The sequence below is a fragment of the Homo sapiens genome, chromosome 22 (assembly GCF_000001405.40).
Source record: "Homo sapiens chromosome 22, GRCh38.p14 Primary Assembly".
Classification (NCBI taxonomy): domain Eukaryota; kingdom Metazoa; phylum Chordata; class Mammalia; order Primates; family Hominidae; genus Homo; species Homo sapiens.
In genome coordinates, this window is record NC_000022.11 from 40,257,555 (window position 1) to 40,276,989 (window position 19,435).

Sequence of the window (19,435 nt, forward strand, 5' to 3'; positions counted from 1 at the left end):
AAAAATACAAAATTAGCCGGGTATGGTGGTGCACACCTGTAATCCCAGCTACTTGAGAGACTGAGGCAGGAGAATCGCTTGATCCTGGGAGGCGGAGGTTGCAGAGAGCCGAGATCACGCCACTGTACTCCAGCCTGGGCAACAAGAGCGAAACTCCGCCTCAAAAAAAAAAGTAAATGAATGGACGGCCAGGTGCGGTGGCTCACGCCTATAATCCCAGCACTTTGGGAGGCTGAGGCGGGCAGATCACCTGAAGTCAGGAGTTCGAGACTAGCCTGGCCAAGATGATGAAACTCCGTCTCTGTTAAACATACAAAAATTAGTGAGGCGTGGTGGTGCACGCCAGCTACTCGGGAGGCTGAGGCAGGAGAATCACTTGAACCTGGAAGGTGGAGGTTGCAGGAAGCTGAGATCCTGCTACTCCACTCTAGCCTGGGCAACAGAGCAAGACTCAGTCTCAAAAAACAAACAAAAAAAGAAGTAAATGAATGGAAATCAGAAAATAGGATACACAGCCTTTTTTTTTTTTTTTTTTTTTTTTTTTTTTACCCCACAATGTTTTTATTTCCCTATAGTACTGAGATCATGTTTAAGCCACAAACCTTTCCTCTGGAAGATAAGAAACTATGCACTTACTTTGAACAGCTCATCTTTAGAAAAACTTGCACAACTTACAAATCCTTAAGATTCAGAAAAGAGACAGCCTGAAAAGTAACATATTCAGACTTTTAATGATAGCTTCTCTTGCCCTTTATCGTCTAACATTCTGGACCATGATGATGGGTGATGCACACTGATTCTGATGTCTTAAGTTTGGACTTTGGGAGTCAATTTGGATCAGACATCCTGCCTGAAAAGCTGTGTTGCTCTCCAATTAGTGCCGGCAATTCTGGTTGGCCTTTAAAAGCTTAACATTCTTGGATTCACAGAAAGGTGTGATTTAAAAAATAGAGTAAGAATTCATTCAGGTGCTGAAACACAGTTTGCTATGACTAAGGTGGTGTCTTGGGCGTTTTCTGACTGTTTCCTGGAGGTTTTGTTTTTTTCTTTTTATACTTTGACCTATTTGTACATGATGTCCTGGAGTTTGAATGACTAATCTCCTGGGCCAGAGCACACTGTATTGGGAGGAAAGTGGTTGAGGTGTGTTCCCATTTTATAATGACTTTATCATTTACAATCCATTCTGTCTCTGATGTGGTGGGAAAGTGCCCTGAGGAACTTTTGCAAGGAATCTTACATGATACGTGATACCTACCAAATTTCTTCAGTTGAAACAGTGCTGTGAATGTTTTAAAGTGAGTCAAACTGGTGTTCAGCCCTCAGTCCTGCAGGTCACTCTGTCATGTCTTGTTGTTTTTCTGGATTGAGTTAAAAGTATGTAGTAGACCTGGGTAACTTATAATGAAGATTCTTGACCTTTATAGCAGGGCAGCCTTACAGAAACATAGCTCTTTCTGTCCTAAAAACCAGTTGGGATGAATTTCTCCAGTCTCTGCCAACTTCTTGTTTATTCTCATAATAAGATAAAAGGGGATTGCGAATGCCCTGTGCTATAGAATCCTCCAGTAACAGATAGAAAATTAATATTAAATAATCTTCATTCATTCATTTACCAGTTATGTATCCATCTGTTGTTATAGGTCATGAATATTAGATAATGACTAATTTTCTTTTCTTTTTTTTTTGAGACAGAGTCTTGCTCTGTGGCCCAGGCTGGAGGGCAGTGGCACGATCTCGGCTCACTGCAACCCCCGCTTCCCAGGTTCAAGCAATTCTCGTCCTCAGCCTCCTGAGTAGCTGGGAATACAGGCGCATGCCACCACGCCCAGCTAATTTTTGTATTTTTAGTAGAGACTAGGTTTCACAATGTCGGCCAGGATGGTCTCGATCTCCTGACCCTGTGATCTACCCACCTCGGCCTCCCAAAGTGCTGGGATTACAGGCGTGAGCCATCGCGCCTGGCCGACTAATTTTATTTTCTTAAGTCACACATTTATTCTGCTCATCAGATTTTGGATCCTCTGACCTCCACTCCCCCTCCCCTTACTGGGAGGCCTGGTGCTGCCTTGTGATTAGCTGAGGTTAGACATGGGGTTACCTGGAAATTGCTGCAGGCACCTGCTCTTTTCTCCTGTCACCCACAGTATGTTAATGTCCAGTAGTGGCATAGATTGGGCCGCCTGATTTCTGATGATGTATCTCTCTCATAAAGGAGCCAGTTCAGCAAGCAACATGCTGGCCCCGCATCATTTTAGCAGTCAAAGCAGTACTACCCCCAGAGTTGGCCCTGACGTTACCCTGGGAGGCAGGGATTTGGGCCTCAGAATCATCCGAACTGTCAGGCTTGATGATTATTTCTGTACGACTTCCAGCCTCTATTTGCCAGGTAGATTTTTATGGAGAGGGTAGTGATCTTCTGGCAGCATGCAGCGAGGGAGGTACAGATCTAAGAGAGCCTTCTCTGTATGTTCGACGGGAAGAGCCAGAGGGTCCGGCAGAGTGCGGTTTCACGGTTGCCCCGACATTCCCACGCTGTGTGCGGGCCATTTTTAAAATTAAGTTTAAAAAAATCAAATGATTTAAAGTAAACAGAAAAAGTATTTACATTTTGAAATTTCTATTTTAAAGAATTGGGAAGAAACACTTTTTTTTTTTTTTAAAGAAAAGCAAAAAGATTTGTAACATTTCTAGTATTTACACAGAGAGCGGTGCAAGTCTTTGAGTCCAGGTAGCTGTAGAAACCAGAACCAAGCTGAGTTTGTGATTTTCTAGGCCTGGAGTTTCTTGTAAGAGTCCACTCTGTGCCATGCCCTAAGGAAGAAAGAAAAGATGAAAGATGGGTCCTTGCCCTCAGGAAGTCATGGCCTGGTGAGGGAGAAGGACTTGTAAATGGAGAATTTCTGTGATAGAGAGAGATGGGACTTGTAGATGGAGAATTTCGGTGGTAGAGATAGATGGATTTTTGAATGGAGAATTTTCATGGTAGAGAGAGATGGATGATGTGTTCCAGGAGCACTTAGGAAGAATGTTTAGCCCATCTAGGCCAGGGGCTTCAATAAAGTTTACTCAGGGGTAGATCTTTTAAGAATGTGGATGAAGGGAAGGGACCCTTGGACTGAGGCTTGAAACCTTTCCCAAGGACTTTGCCATGGACATTTAACTCTTCTAGGCAGCACTTCAGGGAATTAATTCCACTGTTGATTTAGGGGAGTGAATGTTGATTGCTTCCCTCTCCGCCTTAATTAATGGAATGTATTCCATGACCTTGCTGTGTTTAAATTCTTGTCACTGTCAGCCGCCACCTTCATCCTACCTTCAGCAAACTGGAGAGATTGTGGAGAATTTGGAAAAACTGTTTCCCTTGAGAGTAGAGTAAAAGGAGAAGTTACTTTGTTAGAATTGGTACCATGTAAGCTTTCTTACAAATAATCTTAGCCAGGGTCTGGGTGTGGTGGCTCACACCTGTAATCCCAGCACTTTGGGAGGCCGAGGTGGGTAAATAGCTTGAGTTCAGGAGTTCGAGACCAGTCTAGGTAGGCAACATGGCAAAACCCTGTCTCTAGAGGAGGAAAAAAAAATTAGTTGGGCATAGTGGTGTATGCATTGTAGTCCCAGCTACTCAAGAGGCTGAGGTGGGAGGATCACTTGAGCCCTGGAGGTAGAAGTTGCAGCAAGCCAAGATCACTGCACTCCAGCCCGAGTTATACAGCAAGACCTCATCTCAAAAAAATAAAAAATAGGCTGGGTGCAGTGGCTCATGCCTGTAATCTCAACACTTTGGGAGGCCAAGGCAGGCGGATCATGAGGTCAGGAGTTCAAGACCAGCCTGGTCAACATAGTGAAAACCTGTCTGTACTAAAAATACAAAAAATTAGCTGGTTTTGGTGGTGGGCGCCTGTAATCCGAGCTACTTGGGAGGCTGAGGCAGGAGAATTGCTTGAACCTGGGAGGCGGAGGTTGCAGTGAGCGGAGATTGCACCACTGCACTCCAGCCTGGGCGACACTCACACTGGGTGACAGTGTGAGACTCCGTCTCAAAAATAAATAAATAAATAAATAAATAATAATCTTGGCCAGGCACAGTGGCTCACTCTTGTAATTCTAGCACTTTGGAAAGCCAAGGTGGGAGAGTCCCTTGAGCCCGAGTTCAAGACCAGCATGGGCAACATGGCAAGACCCCATCTCTAAATAAAATAATAAAATTATTTTTAAAATTTTTAGAAAAAATGTATTTGATGTATTTCAAAGACTGTTTCCCAACCCCTCTCTTTTAGTGCCCGAAGTGACGAAACCAAGTTTAAGCCAACCAACGGCCGCCAGCCCAATTGGCAGCTCTCCATCGCCACCAGTCAATGGTGGCAACAATGCCAAAAGGGTGGCAGTGCCGAACGGACAACCGCCAAGCGCCGCCCGCTACATGCCTCGGGAGGTGCCGCCGCGATTCCGTTGCCAGCAGGACCACAAAGTGTTACTAAAACGTGGGCAGCCCCCTCCACCGTCCTGCATGCTCCTTGGGGGTGGGGCAGGGCCTCCTCCCTGCACAGCACCTGGAGCAAACCCAAACAACGCACAAGTGACAGGAGCGCTGCTGCAGAGTGAGAGTGGGACTGCGCCAGGTAAGGCACCCTGTGAATCGAATGCATGGCAGCTTGACAGAGAGAGAGCACTTTGTTTGCATTGCTTGATGTAAAGTCCAGGAAAGCCATTCATTATATAAACCACTGGGATTAGTCAAAAGATGAGAGAGGATCCTAGTATGCGATGTGTATTGGTGATTCTTGGAACTGAGGTTTAGTGTTCCGTAAGTGTGTGCTCTTGGCATAAGGGCTAACTTAACTGCTGTTGCTTATTATTTTGGGGGCCTTTTTTCCTTCTCAGACTAGAGTGTTACAAATTTGAGCCTCCATAGTTCCACCGTCATATGTGTTCAGGGCATAATTGGACATGGGGCTTGTGCGAAGGCGAATCTTTAGATGCCTGTGTTATGTTTCCAGAATGCTAGGAGGATAGAGAAAATGATTTGCTACATTGCAATATAGAATCTTCGGAGGATTCTAAAATAATACTATAGTTTTTAAATTAGATTTTTAAACTCAGTATTTCTTTTTGTGGGCCCTGGATTTTGAGCTTTGTTAAAAACTGTATGTAGAAATAAGGGATATTTAGCTGAAAGGTTCTACTAGAAGTTTTGAGAGTTTTTGGCCGGGCACGGTGGCTCACGCCTGTAATCCCAGCACTTTGGGAGGCCGAGGCGGGTGGATCACCAGGTCAGGAGATCGAGACCACCCTGGCTAACATGGTGAAACCCTGTCTCTACTAAAAATATAAAAAAATTAGCCAGGCATGGTGGCGGGCTCCTGTAGTCCCAGCTACTCGGGAGGCTGAGGCAGGAGAATGGCGTCAACCCAGGAGGCGGAGCTTGCAGTGAGCCGAGGTCGCGCCATTGCACTCCAGCCTGGGTGACAGAGCCAGACTCCGTCTTAAAAAAAAAAAAAAAAAAGTTGTGAGAGTTTTTAATAGATGAATACTAAGTCAACTAACAGCTAAGAAATTCTAAATATCTTTTAAAGTTTATTAACAGATTTCAACTTAAAATGTCTTTTGGGGTGATATTAAAATTCAGAGCTTGAATACCATTAGGCATTGGCAAAGATAATGAATTGATGGTTGTCACCAGTAGGATGCTTTATTTGAGTTCTGAGTTTAAACAAATAATTGCCTAGAAAATTTGGTCACCATCTTGCTGTGTGCAGAGTAAGGATGGAAAGAAACCTCGTGGTGACACAGACTTCCTGCAGAGATAAGCCCTACCCATGGCCTTTCCTTCCTGGCTCTCCAAACCAGCTGCAAAAGGAAGCATGTGAAGGGGCAGGCCCTGTCAGGCGGAGTTTCTGCAGCCGAGTGTAGCCAGGCCTAGGTGGAGACTGGGGTCCAGTGTGAGTCAGAGTCCACATTATTAAAACGGAGGAGGCCCCTAAATCTCGAGTTTCGGTTTCTATGCTTTTTATTTTTCTATGCCTCCGTATAATACTTTTTGAAACTTCAAATTGATTAAAAGCTGCCTGGTTAAAGAAGCCAAAATAAATTTAGAAGAAATGATCTCATTAAAAACATGTTTTTCCCACCAAATATGGTAAATTCCACCAAAATATATGGTGAGCCAGACTCATTTAACAGATTAAGTTCCTTGGGGTTGTGAACTCTGCCTAATTCATACTCATGTGACACCCCTGCCACCCTGGGCACCTAGCTCAGTGGCTCAGTGGGTATTCATCATTCAGCAGATGCTTACTCCGCAGCATTGTGCTGGCTGCTGTGTGGAATTCTAACGTTAGCAAGTTAGGGTCTCTGCCTAAAAGACGCTAACATGGGGAAGGAAAGTTGTGAACATGGTGCCACAGCACTGAGCAAAATGGCTCTAGACAGGGAAAGATTATTTTCAGGTGATGAGCTTGAAAACAGCTTCGCAGATGAAATGACACTTGAATTGGGCCCAGAAGGATGAGTAAATTTCACTGTGTGAATTCAGCAGGAAAACACAGTAGGTGCCAACGTGAAATGGTGCCAGAGTGAGAAGGCACAAGTTGTGGAATGTCAAGTAGTATCGAATATTGACATCTACATAGGAGGTAGTAGAAGATAAGACTAGAAAAGTTGGTTGGTCCCAGGTCATGGAACATCTTGATGACATTCGAGGCCAAGGAGTTCAGCTTTATTCTTGTGCACTAAGGAACTGTTGAAGGTTCTCCATACAGCAGTGATATAATCAAAAGTGTGCTTTAGAAAGATTGCTCCAGCCAGGGGTGTTTAGAGTAGGTTGAAGATACAGAGCAAGTTTAGAGTGCCATTGCTATTGCCTTGTCCCAAGATACAAGAAGGCCCTTCTCTGTCAATAGGAATGGCAAAGGACGTAGCTTTGAGAGAGATGAAGTTAGACTTAACCGGTGTAACACAAGGCAAATGAAAAAAAAGAGATGACTAAGACAGTTGTGATACAAGCAACTGGGTTGAGAGAAACTGGCATGTGATCAGCTCTCCTAAGGGCAGAGCTCAAAGGAGAGCCCCTTTGAGGGATTAATGGGTAATGAATGCATTTGAAGCTGTGATTAATAAGATGATCTGTTCCCCAGACTCAACCCTTGGAGGTGCTGCTGCTTCAAATTATGCAAATTCCACTTGGGGCTCGGGAGCCTCCTCCAACAACGGCACCTCCCCCAACCCAATTCACATCTGGGACAAGGTGATTGTAGACGGGTCTGACATGGAAGAGTGGCCTTGTATTGCCAGCAAAGACACTGAATCTTCTTCCGAAAACACCACCGATAACAACAGTGCCTCGAACCCTGGCTCTGAGAAGAGCACTCTGCCAGGAAGCACCACTAGTAACAAAGGAAAAGGGAGCCAGTGCCAGTCTGCAAGTTCTGGGAACGAATGTAATCTTGGGGTCTGGAAATCTGACCCTAAGGCTAAATCTGTTCAATCTTCCAACTCTACTACAGAGAACAACAATGGACTAGGAAATTGGAGGAATGTGAGTGGTCAGGATAGAATTGGACCTGGCTCTGGCTTCAGCAACTTTAACCCAAATAGCAACCCATCTGCCTGGCCAGCACTGGTCCAAGAAGGAACTTCTAGGAAAGGGGCATTGGAAACAGATAATAGTAATTCCAGTGCACAGGTTAGCACAGTAGGTCAGACATCCAGGGAACAGCAGTCAAAGATGGAAAATGCGGGTGTTAATTTTGTTGTCTCTGGCAGAGAACAGGCTCAAATTCATAACACTGATGGACCAAAAAATGGAAACACTAACTCCTTGAACTTAAGTTCACCAAACCCCATGGAGAATAAGGGAATGCCCTTTGGAATGGGCTTGGGGAACACCTCCAGGAGCACTGATGCCCCTTCACAAAGCACTGGAGATCGAAAGACTGGGAGTGTTGGATCTTGGGGTGCAGCTAGGGGGCCTTCTGGAACTGACACAGTCTCTGGACAAAGCAATTCTGGAAACAATGGGAACAATGGAAAAGAGAGAGAGGACTCCTGGAAAGGAGCTTCTGTTCAGAAATCAACTGGGTCAAAAAATGACTCTTGGGACAACAATAACAGGTCTACGGGTGGGTCCTGGAACTTTGGCCCCCAGGACTCTAATGACAACAAATGGGGTGAAGGGAACAAAATGACATCTGGGGTCTCTCAGGGAGAATGGAAACAGCCGACTGGGTCTGATGAGTTGAAAATTGGAGAATGGAGTGGTCCAAACCAACCAAATTCTAGCACTGGAGCATGGGACAATCAAAAGGGCCACCCCCTCCCTGAAAACCAAGGCAATGCCCAGGCTCCCTGTTGGGGAAGATCTTCCAGCTCCACAGGAAGTGAAGTTGGAGGTCAAAGCACTGGAAGCAACCACAAAGCAGGAAGTAGTGACAGTCATAACTCTGGCCGTCGGTCGTACAGGCCCACACATCCTGATTGTCAGGCTGTCTTGCAGACTCTTTTGAGCCGAACTGATTTGGACCCCAGGGTGCTCTCAAACACTGGCTGGGGCCAAACTCAAATTAAGCAGGACACAGTGTGGGACATTGAAGAGGTGCCAAGGCCTGAGGGGAAATCTGACAAAGGAACTGAGGGGTGGGAGAGCGCTGCCACACAGACCAAGAACTCAGGGGGCTGGGGAGATGCACCCAGCCAAAGCAATCAAATGAAGTCTGGATGGGGGGAGCTCTCAGCCTCTACAGAGTGGAAAGACCCCAAGAACACAGGAGGCTGGAATGACTACAAGAACAACAACTCTTCCAACTGGGGAGGAGGACGACCTGATGAAAAGACACCTTCCTCTTGGAATGAGAATCCCAGCAAGGATCAGGGGTGGGGAGGTGGACGCCAGCCCAATCAAGGATGGTCTTCTGGAAAGAATGGTTGGGGGGAGGAAGTCGATCAGACAAAAAACAGCAATTGGGAAAGTTCTGCAAGTAAACCTGTGTCTGGGTGGGGTGAAGGAGGGCAGAATGAAATCGGGACTTGGGGTAATGGTGGCAATGCAAGCCTAGCTTCAAAAGGTGGGTGGGAGGATTGCAAAAGATCCCCAGCATGGAATGAGACGGGCCGACAGCCCAATTCCTGGAATAAACAACACCAACAGCAGCAGCCCCCACAGCAGCCGCCGCCACCACAACCAGAGGCTTCTGGTTCGTGGGGAGGCCCACCCCCACCACCTCCAGGCAACGTTCGACCTTCCAATTCCAGCTGGAGCAGCGGGCCACAGCCTGCAACACCTAAGGATGAGGAACCCAGTGGTTGGGAAGAGCCATCCCCACAGTCAATTAGTCGGAAAATGGACATTGATGATGGCACTTCAGCATGGGGAGACCCTAACAGTTATAACTACAAGAATGTGAATCTGTGGGATAAGAATTCCCAAGGGGGCCCAGCACCTCGAGAACCAAACCTGCCCACCCCAATGACCAGTAAATCGGCATCAGGTAAGCAGTGGCTTTCTCTTGCAGCTTTTGATGAAGAAAAGGAATCCTAGACCAAGGCATTTTTATTAGGTGAATTTATTCAACTTAGTTTTGTTCTGAGATGCTTTCCTACAGTTTCTACTCTGTTGCTAACAGAACCTCTTTTTATGAAATGCTAGTGATGGCAGATGCTGGTAGTACATTTTAATGTTCTTTCTTGGCAAAAGGAAAAGATGACAACCCTGTGTTAGTCCCCAAAATTATTTTTCTGTAATTGTATTGGTCTGCAGAATCCAAAAGACATATCTTGCCAAACAAACTATGTTCTAGATTTTAAAATAAAGAATTAAAGTAGTAGCAGAAATAGACCTGATTTCCATTCTGGTTCTACCCATGGACATGTCTCTGCTTCTGTTTCCCCAGCAAAGGGAAATAATTCTGTGTTTTTCCAAAGGCCATGATGATGCTGAAGCAAAGCTGGATCTGGAAGGTTTCAGTCTCTTTCTGGATGATTTTTAATGATTACCTCTGGAATGGGAGTACTTTGTATAAGAGATTGTTATCTCAGTCCTAGTGAGATGGCTCACACCTGTAATCCCAGCACTATGGGAGACTAGGGCAGGAGGATCCCTTGAGCCCAGGAGTTTGAGACCAGCCTGGGCAACCTAGAGAGACTTCAGTCTCTACAAAAATATTTTTTAAAAATCAGACGGGTGTGGTGCATGTGCATATAGTCCCACCTACTCTAGAGGCTGAGGTAAGAGGATCGCCTAAGCCCTGGAGATGGGAGGCTGTAGGGAGCTATGATCTCACCACTGCACTCCAGTTTGGGAGACAGAGCGAGACCCTGTTGCCAAAAAAAAAAGAGCGATTGTTAGGATAGTCAGTTGCCCAGAATTAAACTTTCTTCCGTCACTATTTGAATAGGAAACATCATACCTGGTAAAAGTAGCAATGGTAATGCCATTCTTAGTTTGTCATTGTCAACTTGAATGTCCCTATAGAGCATATAGTTCAACAAATTAAGGGGGATGCACCTTTCAGTCTTTTTTTAGTTAAAATTAATATTAAGAACCAGTTTTCTTTTTTTGAGACAGAGTCTCACTCTGTTGCCCAGGCTGGAGTGCAGTGGCACGATCTCGGCTCGCTATAACCTCCGTGCCAAGTTCAAGTGATTCTCTTGCCTCAGCCTCCTGAGTAGTTGGGATTACAGGCACCCACTGCCATGCCCAGCTAATGTTTGTATTTTTAGTAGAGACAGGATTTCACCATGTTGGCCAGGGTGGTCTCAGACTCCTGACCTCAGGTGATCCACCCGCCTCAGTCTACCAAAGTGCTGGGATTACAGGCATGAGCCACTGTGCCCAGCCAAGAATCAGTTTTCTCCGAGTACACCTCTAGTGTTCAGCTAATCCATTTGTGGCCTCTTAGAAAAATGATTACTTTTAACTCATTCTTTTTTCAAGTATTGAAAAGAATGAGGAAGGAAATGAAGATTTCTCACTGGCTCCCCATGCAGAATAAAACCTGCTAAAATTTTAAAAAGCTACATCCACATAGCAAAAACCTTCAAACTGTGTGGAAAAGCAAAAGATAGTCAATAAAATAATCTTTGGCCAGGCGCGGTGGCTCACGCCTGTAATCCCAGCACTTTGGGAGGCCGAGGCGGACAGATCATGAGGTCAGGAGATCGAGACCATCTTGGCTAACACGGTGAAACCCCGCCTCTACTAAAAAATCGAAAAAATTAGCCAGGCGTGGTGGCGGGCACCTGTAGTCCCAGCTACTCGGGAGGCTGAGGCAGGAGAATGGGGTGAACCCAGGAGATGGAGCTTGCAAGTGAGCTGAGATCACGCCACTGCACTCCAGCCTGGGCGACAGAGCAAGACTCCGTCTCAAAAAATAATAATAATAATAATAATAATAATAATCTTAACCCCTAGGGTCTCTTCCCAAAGGTAATCTCTTAGAAGTTTGTGTCCCATTCAAAAATTTTACAGAGAAGGGATTGTACTTCGTATACTGTTCTTCACCTTGCTTTTCTCATTATACTTATAGCTTCCAATTTTAGCACATAGTCTGCTGCTTAATTGCTTCATATACAGTATTTCTTTTTTTTTTTTTTTTTTTTTTTTTTTGAGAGGGAGTCTCACTGTCTCCCAGGCTGGAGTGCAGTGGCGCAATCTTGGCTCACTGCAACCTCCACCTCCCGGGTTCAAGTGAGCCTCCTTCTCAGCCTCCCGAATAGCTGGGATTACAGGCATGCGTCGTCACGCCCAGCTAATTTTTGTATTTTTTGCTGGAGATGGGGTTTTGCCATGTGGGTCTGGCTAGTCTTGAACTCCTGACCTCAGGAGATCCACCCGCCTTGGCTCCTAAAGTGCTGGGATAACAGGCGTGAGCCATTGTGCCTGGCCTTTACACAGTACTTCTTTTATGGGTGACCCACAATTGGTCTAACCAGTCCCCTTGTGGTGGATATTTAGGTTGTTTCCAAATTTTTTCTATCAGTGATGCGGTGAGTATTGTTATACATGTAATTTCACCTATTTTTACAAGTATATTTATGGTATAATTTTCTGGCAGCCTGGGCATGATGGCTCATGCCTGTAATCCCAGCACTTTGGGAGGCTGAGCCAGGCAGATCACAAGGTCAGGAGTTTGAAGCCAGCCTGGCCAATGTGGTGAAACCCTGTCTCTACTTAAAAAAAAAAATACAAAAGTTAGCTGGGTATGGTGGCACACGCCTGTAATCTCAGCTGCTCGGGAGGCTGAGGCAGGAGAATCGCTTGAACCTGGGAGGTGGAGGTTGCCATGAGCCAAGACCACGGCATTGCACTCCAGCCTTGGGGATGGAGCAAGACTCTGTCTCAAAAAAAAAAAAAAAAAAAAAATTCCTGGCAGTTGAGTTACTGGGTGAAAAGTTTAATGTGCATCGGATTTTTTAAAAAGTAGCATTGCCAAATACCCCTCACATGAAAGTTGAATCTATTTACATTTCTACCAACAGAATATAGGCATGCCTGTTCCTTCCACCTTCACCCCACTGGATATTATGGCATTTCATTTAACAAATGATTCTTAGAGACATTTCCTTTCTTTATAGTCTGGAGCAAAAGCACACCACCTGCTCCAGATAATGGTACTTCCGCTTGGGGTGAGCCAAATGAAAGCAGTCCTGGGTGGGGCGAGATGGATGATACAGGAGCATCGACCACAGGCTGGGGGAACACGCCCGCCAACGCTCCCAATGCCATGAAGCCTAGTAAGTGTGAAGCTTTTCATTTTTGAGGGATCCTTTTTTTTTTTTTTTTTTAATTGAGACGGAGTTTCACTCTTGTCCACCCAGGCTGGAGTGCAGTGGTGCAATTTCGGCTCACTGCAACCTCTGCTTTCCAGCTTCAAGCGATTCTCCTGCCTCAGCCTCCCGAGTAGCTGGGATTACAGGCGCCCGCCACCACGCCCGGCTAATTTTTGTATTTTTATTAGAGATGGGGTTTCTCCATGTTGGTCAGGCTGGTCTTGAACTCCTGTCCTTGTGATCCACCCGCCTTGGCCTCCCAAAGTCCTGGGACTACAGGCGTGAGCCACCGTGCCCGGCCGGGATTCTTTGTTAAATGTTTGTCAAATGTCAGATTTGAGAATCTGACATTTTGGTGAGGGCTGTTTAGTTTTAAGCTGTTGATTCAATGAGATTCAGGACCTTGAGTGTTAAATAATTAGTTAATAGCAAACGGTTGTGGCTTGGCTTGGCGTTTCTTAAAATGTTTAAGGTGAATTAAAAATCATAAGTTAATTTTGTTTTAAATTTAGTATCTGGACAGAATTATAATTTTGATGTGATGCTCTTTTAGCCCAGTGACTATGTGCTCACCATATCTAGCTTGCATTTCTACTTGTTAGTATAATTTAAAACAAGAGTTCCTGGCTTTTAATGTGGAACACGATCTGTGCTGCCCAGTGACTTCATCCTTCTGCACCTTCCTTTGCCGTTGTCTCTCTTCCACATAAGAGCATTTCAGATTTTTTAAACCTGGCATAAATTTCACTTCAATTTTTTAAATGAAGAACGTCACACTTATTCAGAATCATTGAAAATCTAAAATCTAAGCTGTACTTGATCCAGCTGGTGATGTGTGGTCACAGTAATGAGCAGAACTCTGTGGACTGAGGCTATGGAATGTCTCATTGACTGTTGCTAAATTCAGGTGCCTGTTTACACTTACTTTTGTAACTTTCTTTAAAATGTTCCAACATCTCTTTTCTACCATATAGAAGCAGATTTAAGGGATTATCTTTTGATTAAATAATGAACATTTCTGGAATGACCAAAATTCAAACAAGAAGATAAATTCTGTTAAGTTTATCACATTATATTCAGTACTCTTACAGTGCCACATAAGGGAATGTGATATTAGCTCTATTCTGGAAATTCACATGTGTGTATATGTAGTAATTTGACTACATTTTAAAAATCATGAATCTCCTCGACCTCATTAAAATAGTTAGCTTTATGAAAATTTTGTTTTTATCATTATTTCTATTGTGAAATCAGTCGTATCATCATGGGAAATGTAATCTAGTAGACTTGAAATAGACCCAAAATGCTGCAAGAAGATGTTAATCAGACCCTGGGCACAAAGAGATCCTTTAGCAGTATATTCAGGATTTTCATGTGTCTTTCCCAACCTCAGGATCACCTCTCTTCTATCACAAAACCACTTTTCCTCAGATTCTAAAAATGTCTTCTACTCTTCAGGATCATCTGTAGTTATAGCACACATCCTTTCTGTGGGTAAGTTAAATGTGTAATGTGCGGAAGAAAGGGCTAAACCATCATAGTCTACCAGTTGATGGAGACAGTTACCCTGTGATCTTCTGTAGCCTGTCTTAAATTTGATGTTATGAATCCTATGATTAAAAATTAGACCTCTCTTATCTTTTCTGTAAGAAACATTTGTTAGAAGTTTAGCTTTATCTCTCTAAAAGAAAGGTTCACTTGCATGTCTTCATTTTTCTAAAGGGGTCAGTGTGTTATTTATATTGGGTTTTTAGCTCGTGTTGCTTGTCAGTGGATGCTATAAAGCCTATGCTTGTATAATATAAATCATAAATATGGTATTATATAAATATATAATCCTATATACAGAGGCAGCAGTCCTGGTTATCAGCAGCACTTCCAGCAGCAGGAAGAGGAGCATCCCAACCCTCCCCCTTGTGCACAGACAGCCCCTTCCTGTGGCTACAATGAACCCCACTGGGAGACTGTCAGATTCACCTGGGCCTTGCTAGGGGATGAGATGCTACAGTTAGAAGAAATTAATTGCCCTGTGCCTTATGTACTTGGCCCAAACCTACTTGTCTATCATAGGCCTGATCCTACAGGGTGACAGCTGTCCTTCAAGGAAAGGCCTGGAAGAGCCAATTTTCTGCCCTTAAACTCTTCATATAAAGCTATGTACAAATCAGAAGACTTTCATAAATGTCCTGTCATGTGGGAGAGTAGAGGTGCAGATGGAAGTTTCCAGGCAAGAGAATGTGTTTCCTTTTCTTTCATCATTTTATACAGTATTTTTACTGCAAAGTATGTTTTGATTCTGTACAGTATTTTCGGAGGGAATTAAGGACTTATTCCAGTCTTCAAATTAAAGATCTTTGTTTAGAATGGGATACTGATGTCCCACTTCCTCAAACATTAAAGCCTCTTGGATTTCTCTCTGCTTTCCTTTCTCCTTTCCTCACATTTTTTCCTTCTGTCTTTTCAAAACCACTACGTATAAATTCTTTGCCTCTTTAGTATCTAATACATTTCAAGTGTGTAGTTCTAATACATTTTAGATTTCCATGGCTATATGTGAATTTTTCTTCTTTCACCATAATTCTAATATTCAAAAATGTTATAAAAAATTTTCCCCCTTTTCATGTTCTGTTCGTCTCTGCTTCACCCCAAGCAAGCTAGACAGTTGTCCTTTATCATACCTCGTATTTATAGTGTCCATTGTATATAAAGTACATACTGAATGGAGGATAAAACCAGGGCTACAGTAAACCATGTTCATTAAGAGGAACAGATTTATCTTAATTGAGATGTGAAATTTCTTGCCAGGAATGTTGTGATAAGTTCTTTTCAGTTTTGAAATTCCTGTCCAACTTTGTGCAAGGGAAAAAGCATTGATCCATAAATCAGGAGGCCTTGATTCTATGGTTTGTTAACTTTCTGTGTATCATTGAAGCTTTATGGATTTTAGTTTCCTGCTCTCTAAAAAATGAGTAATAATATTTGTCTTGCCATGGAGATGGAGTAGATAAAATTACAAAGACACGTAAATGCTGCATCTGCAAGGAATTATTATTCTGATGATTGTTTTATATAGCTGTTGCAAAGAGTTAATTCATTCTTTCCTTAAAGATTCCAAATCTATGCAAGACGGCTGGGGGGAGAGTGACGGGCCAGTCACAGGAGCTCGCCATCCCAGCTGGGAAGAGGAGGAGGATGGAGGAGTCTGGAACACCACTGGCTCTCAGGGCAGTGCTTCCTCCCACAACTCAGCAAGCTGGGGACAAGGAGGAAAGAAACAAATGAAGGTAGCCTGCTTAGAAATGTTCGCACTTGCTCATTCGCTCTGAGAAGGCAGAACTGAGGTTTTGTTTTGTTTGTTTTTGTTTTGAGACAAGTTCTCCCTCTGTCACCCAGACTGGAGTGCAGTGGGACAGTCACGACTCGCTGAGCAACCTCCTGGGCTCAAGCAGTCCTCCCACCTCAGCCTTCTTAGTAGCCGGAACTATCACCATGCCTGGCTAAATTTTGTATTTTTTAATAGAGACAGGGTTTCGCCCTGTTGCCAGGATGGTCTCAAACTCCTGGGCTCAATCCTCCTGCCTTGTCCTTCCAAAGTGCTGGGATTACAGGTGGGAGCTACCATGCCTAGCCAGAACTGAGGATTTTTAAATGAAAGGTGTGAGGCAACTGGGGTCCTCAAGGTCCTAAGTAAGGGGAAAAATATTTTCTTGGAAACAAATAACTACTTCCCTTTTACCCTTCGTCTTGCTTTCCCATGACCTTGAAACCTTGAACTATAAAACTGTTGCTGTGGGTAAAATGAAGTTTTCAAAGATACGAGATATTTTTCATTTTTAGTTTCCACATTATAATAATCTTTTGGAGGCTCTCAAGGCATACTTTATAAATGCTTTTGCATTCTAAAGCCAGAGAAGTCCTTCCAGTAAATCCCCATAGATATGTAGGAGGGAATCCAGAGGAAGATAATGCTGGCTTCTCCCGCGGCAATCAGCACGTCTTGATTTTATCTGATTTGGGAAATTCCAAGACCCAGAACCCTTCTCCCGACAAATGAAATACCAGTGAGTACTTGTGTGCTATAGCAGCTAAATGATTAATGATATCTCTTTTTTTTTTTTTTTTGAGACGGAGTCTTGCTCTGTCGCCCAGGCTGGACTGCAGTGGTGCAGTCTCAGCTCACTGCAAGCTCTGCCTCCCAGGTTCACACCATTCTCCTGCCTCAGCCTCCCGAGTAGCTGGGACTACAGGCAGCTGCCACCACGCCCGGCTAATTTTTTGTATTTTTAGTAGAGATGGGGTTTCACCATGTTAGCCAGGATGGTCTCGATCTCCTGACCTCGTGATCCCGTCCACCTCGGCCTCCCAAAGTGCTGGGATTACAGGCGTGAGCCTCTGCGCCCAGCCTAGCAGCTAGATGATTTCTCTACATCATGTACCAGGTTGTGTACTAAACTTTTCACCTTCTGTGTGAAAGTCCTCATCACAGTTTGATGAGGACTTTGGTTTTCAATCTAGAACAGTAGTCTTTGAGCCTGAACCAGTGTCTTCGCAGACCCTCTCTTTTTTCAATTCCAGATTTTCGTTTGACAAATAAAATAGTGGAAATACGAAATGGGCATCCAATACTTAACTTCAACATGAGAGTCTTGGCACCCTATGAAACGGTTCACAGCTAATATTCTCCCACGTTTCAAATACCAGATGCCATCTTAGAGGCCTTCCCATGTCTGAGGATTGGGCCTTCATCCCCTTTGCCCTTTGCCTATAGGACACTAATTTTGTAGATGACTCTTTCTTTTATAGCATAAGAATACAGTCTGTTTCTGTTTAGAGATGTTTTGCTTAAGCAGTCACTTACGGGTTTTCTTCTATTAAGAGCTTTTATTTCTTCAGTCACAGAAGGAATTATTCAGCAAACTTTTCAGCATTCCTTGCACTCTTAGGTTGTCTAGTGTGATTTTGGCTTTCTTTTGGTTATTTACAAATTAACAATGAGACTAAATTAACTGATTGAAAGGGACTAATAAATACCTCTCTAGGTTGACAACCAAGATTTAATTAAGTTAATTGGGAATTGACTCTTTCAGCCCCAGTACCAGTGATTCTGACTTTATATACCGAGGGCGTTTTTTTTAAAAATTGTGATAAAATACATATAACATATAATTTACCATAGCGTACATTTTTAAGTGTACAGTTCAGTGGCAATAAGTATATTCACATACTTATGTTGCCATTTACCACCATCTATCCGCAGAACTCTTTCTATCTTACAAAACTGAACTCTGTACCTATTAAACAGTAACTCCCCATTCCCCCCTCCCTCTAGTGAGGGCTTTTTTGACCTTAAAACCTGTACTAGCTGGCTGCGGTGGCTCATGCCTGTAATCCCAACACTTTGGGAGGCTGAGGCAGGTGAATCACCTGAGGTCAAGAGTTCAAGACCAGCCTGGCCAACATGGCAAAACCCCGTCTCTACTAAACCTACAAAAATTAGCTGGGTGTGGTGGCAGGCAGCTGCAATCCCAGCTACTTGGGAGGATGAGGCAGGAGAATTGCTTGAACCCAGGAGGTAGAGGTTGCAGTGAGCCGAGATCGCGCCATTGCACTCCAGCCTGGGTGACAAGAGCGAAACTCAGTCTCAAAAAAAAAAACCGCCCCCCACACACACACCAAAAAAACCTGTACTAAACTTAAGTACTTCGTCACTTTCAAGGATAATAAAATTGATTTGATGACTACCATCACGGGCTGGGCACGGTGGCTCACACCTGTAATCCCAGCACTTTGGGAGACCGAGGCAAGCGGATCACGAGGTGAGGAGATGGAGACCATCCTGGCTAGCATGGTTAAACCCCATCTCTACTAAAAATACAAAAAATTAACCGGGCATGGTGGCGGGTGCCTGTAGTCCCAGCTACTCGGGAGGCTGAGGCAGGAGAATGGCGTGAGCCCGGGAGGCAAAGCTTGCAGTGAGTTGGGATGGCACCACTGCACTCTAGCCTGGGTGACAGAGAAAAAAAAAAAAAAAGATAGCTATCATCACAACATAGAGAATTTTCACCTGTGAAATACACAACTGCACAAAGCCCCAGCCCACCCAGTCCTCTTCATAGTTCCCCCTGCTTCCCTCACAGAAGTGAAAGTGGAGCTCATGGTCAGTGCCTTGTTCAGGGGAGAAACTAGTTTGTCCCATTAAAAAATTAAAACCTACCTCTGCCCTACTTTGCCCAGGAGATCAGCAATGGTGTCTTCCACTAGGTCTCTTTACCACCAGGACCAATGTCTTTTATGCTGTGAAACAAACAGAGGAAGCACTATGAGTTCCTTATAATGCCCAGTTTAAATAGGCTCCTTTCCAAATGACACGCACTGACATCAAACTGTTTTCTCCTAACATAAACCAGTTTGGGTTACGAGGAGAGCAGCCTAATGAAAGTGAAAGTAGTCGTGTGCAAAACTTCTATTTTAGAAAATCATATCAGACTTCTTTCTATTTGAAAAGCAAAAGTACCAGCTGAGCATGTATTTTTCCAGTTACTTCTGGTTCAGTGTGGTGAATTTTATAAAAATGAAAACATAGATATAACTAGGGCTTATTAATCATTTAAACTAACATAAAATATCAACATAATTTTAGTTAAAGAGAAATAGGACTTAAAAAGGTAAACTC

At 43.9% G+C, this 19,435-nt stretch overlaps 1 protein-coding gene and 1 long non-coding RNA gene across 4 annotated transcripts in view; one reads left to right on the forward strand and one right to left on the reverse strand.

Annotated features, from left to right (window-relative positions):
* The window catches only part of TNRC6B (trinucleotide repeat containing adaptor 6B), a 290,975-nt gene that overhangs the window by 212,721 nt on the left and 58,819 nt on the right, over positions 1–19,435 (forward strand). Inside the window, exons 4-7 of one of the 3 annotated variants that reach the window (NM_001162501.2) lie at positions 4,278–4,619; positions 7,134–9,482; positions 12,568–12,726; positions 15,871–16,046. In NM_001162501.2, coding sequence (NP_001155973.1) covers positions 4,278–4,619; positions 7,134–9,482; positions 12,568–12,726; positions 15,871–16,046 — 3,026 coding nt within the window. The remainder of the gene's footprint in view (positions 1–4,277; positions 4,620–7,133; positions 9,483–12,567; positions 12,727–15,870; positions 16,047–19,435) is intronic. The other 2 variants (NM_001024843.2, NM_015088.3) reach the window with 2 other exon arrangements.
* Positions 1,488–19,279, reverse strand: LOC124905121 (uncharacterized). Its single transcript, XR_007068107.1, has 2 exons — positions 18,977–19,279; positions 1,488–2,814 (listed from the first exon to the last, which is right to left on the reverse strand). It is a non-coding gene; the product is annotated as an uncharacterized LOC124905121 (long non-coding RNA).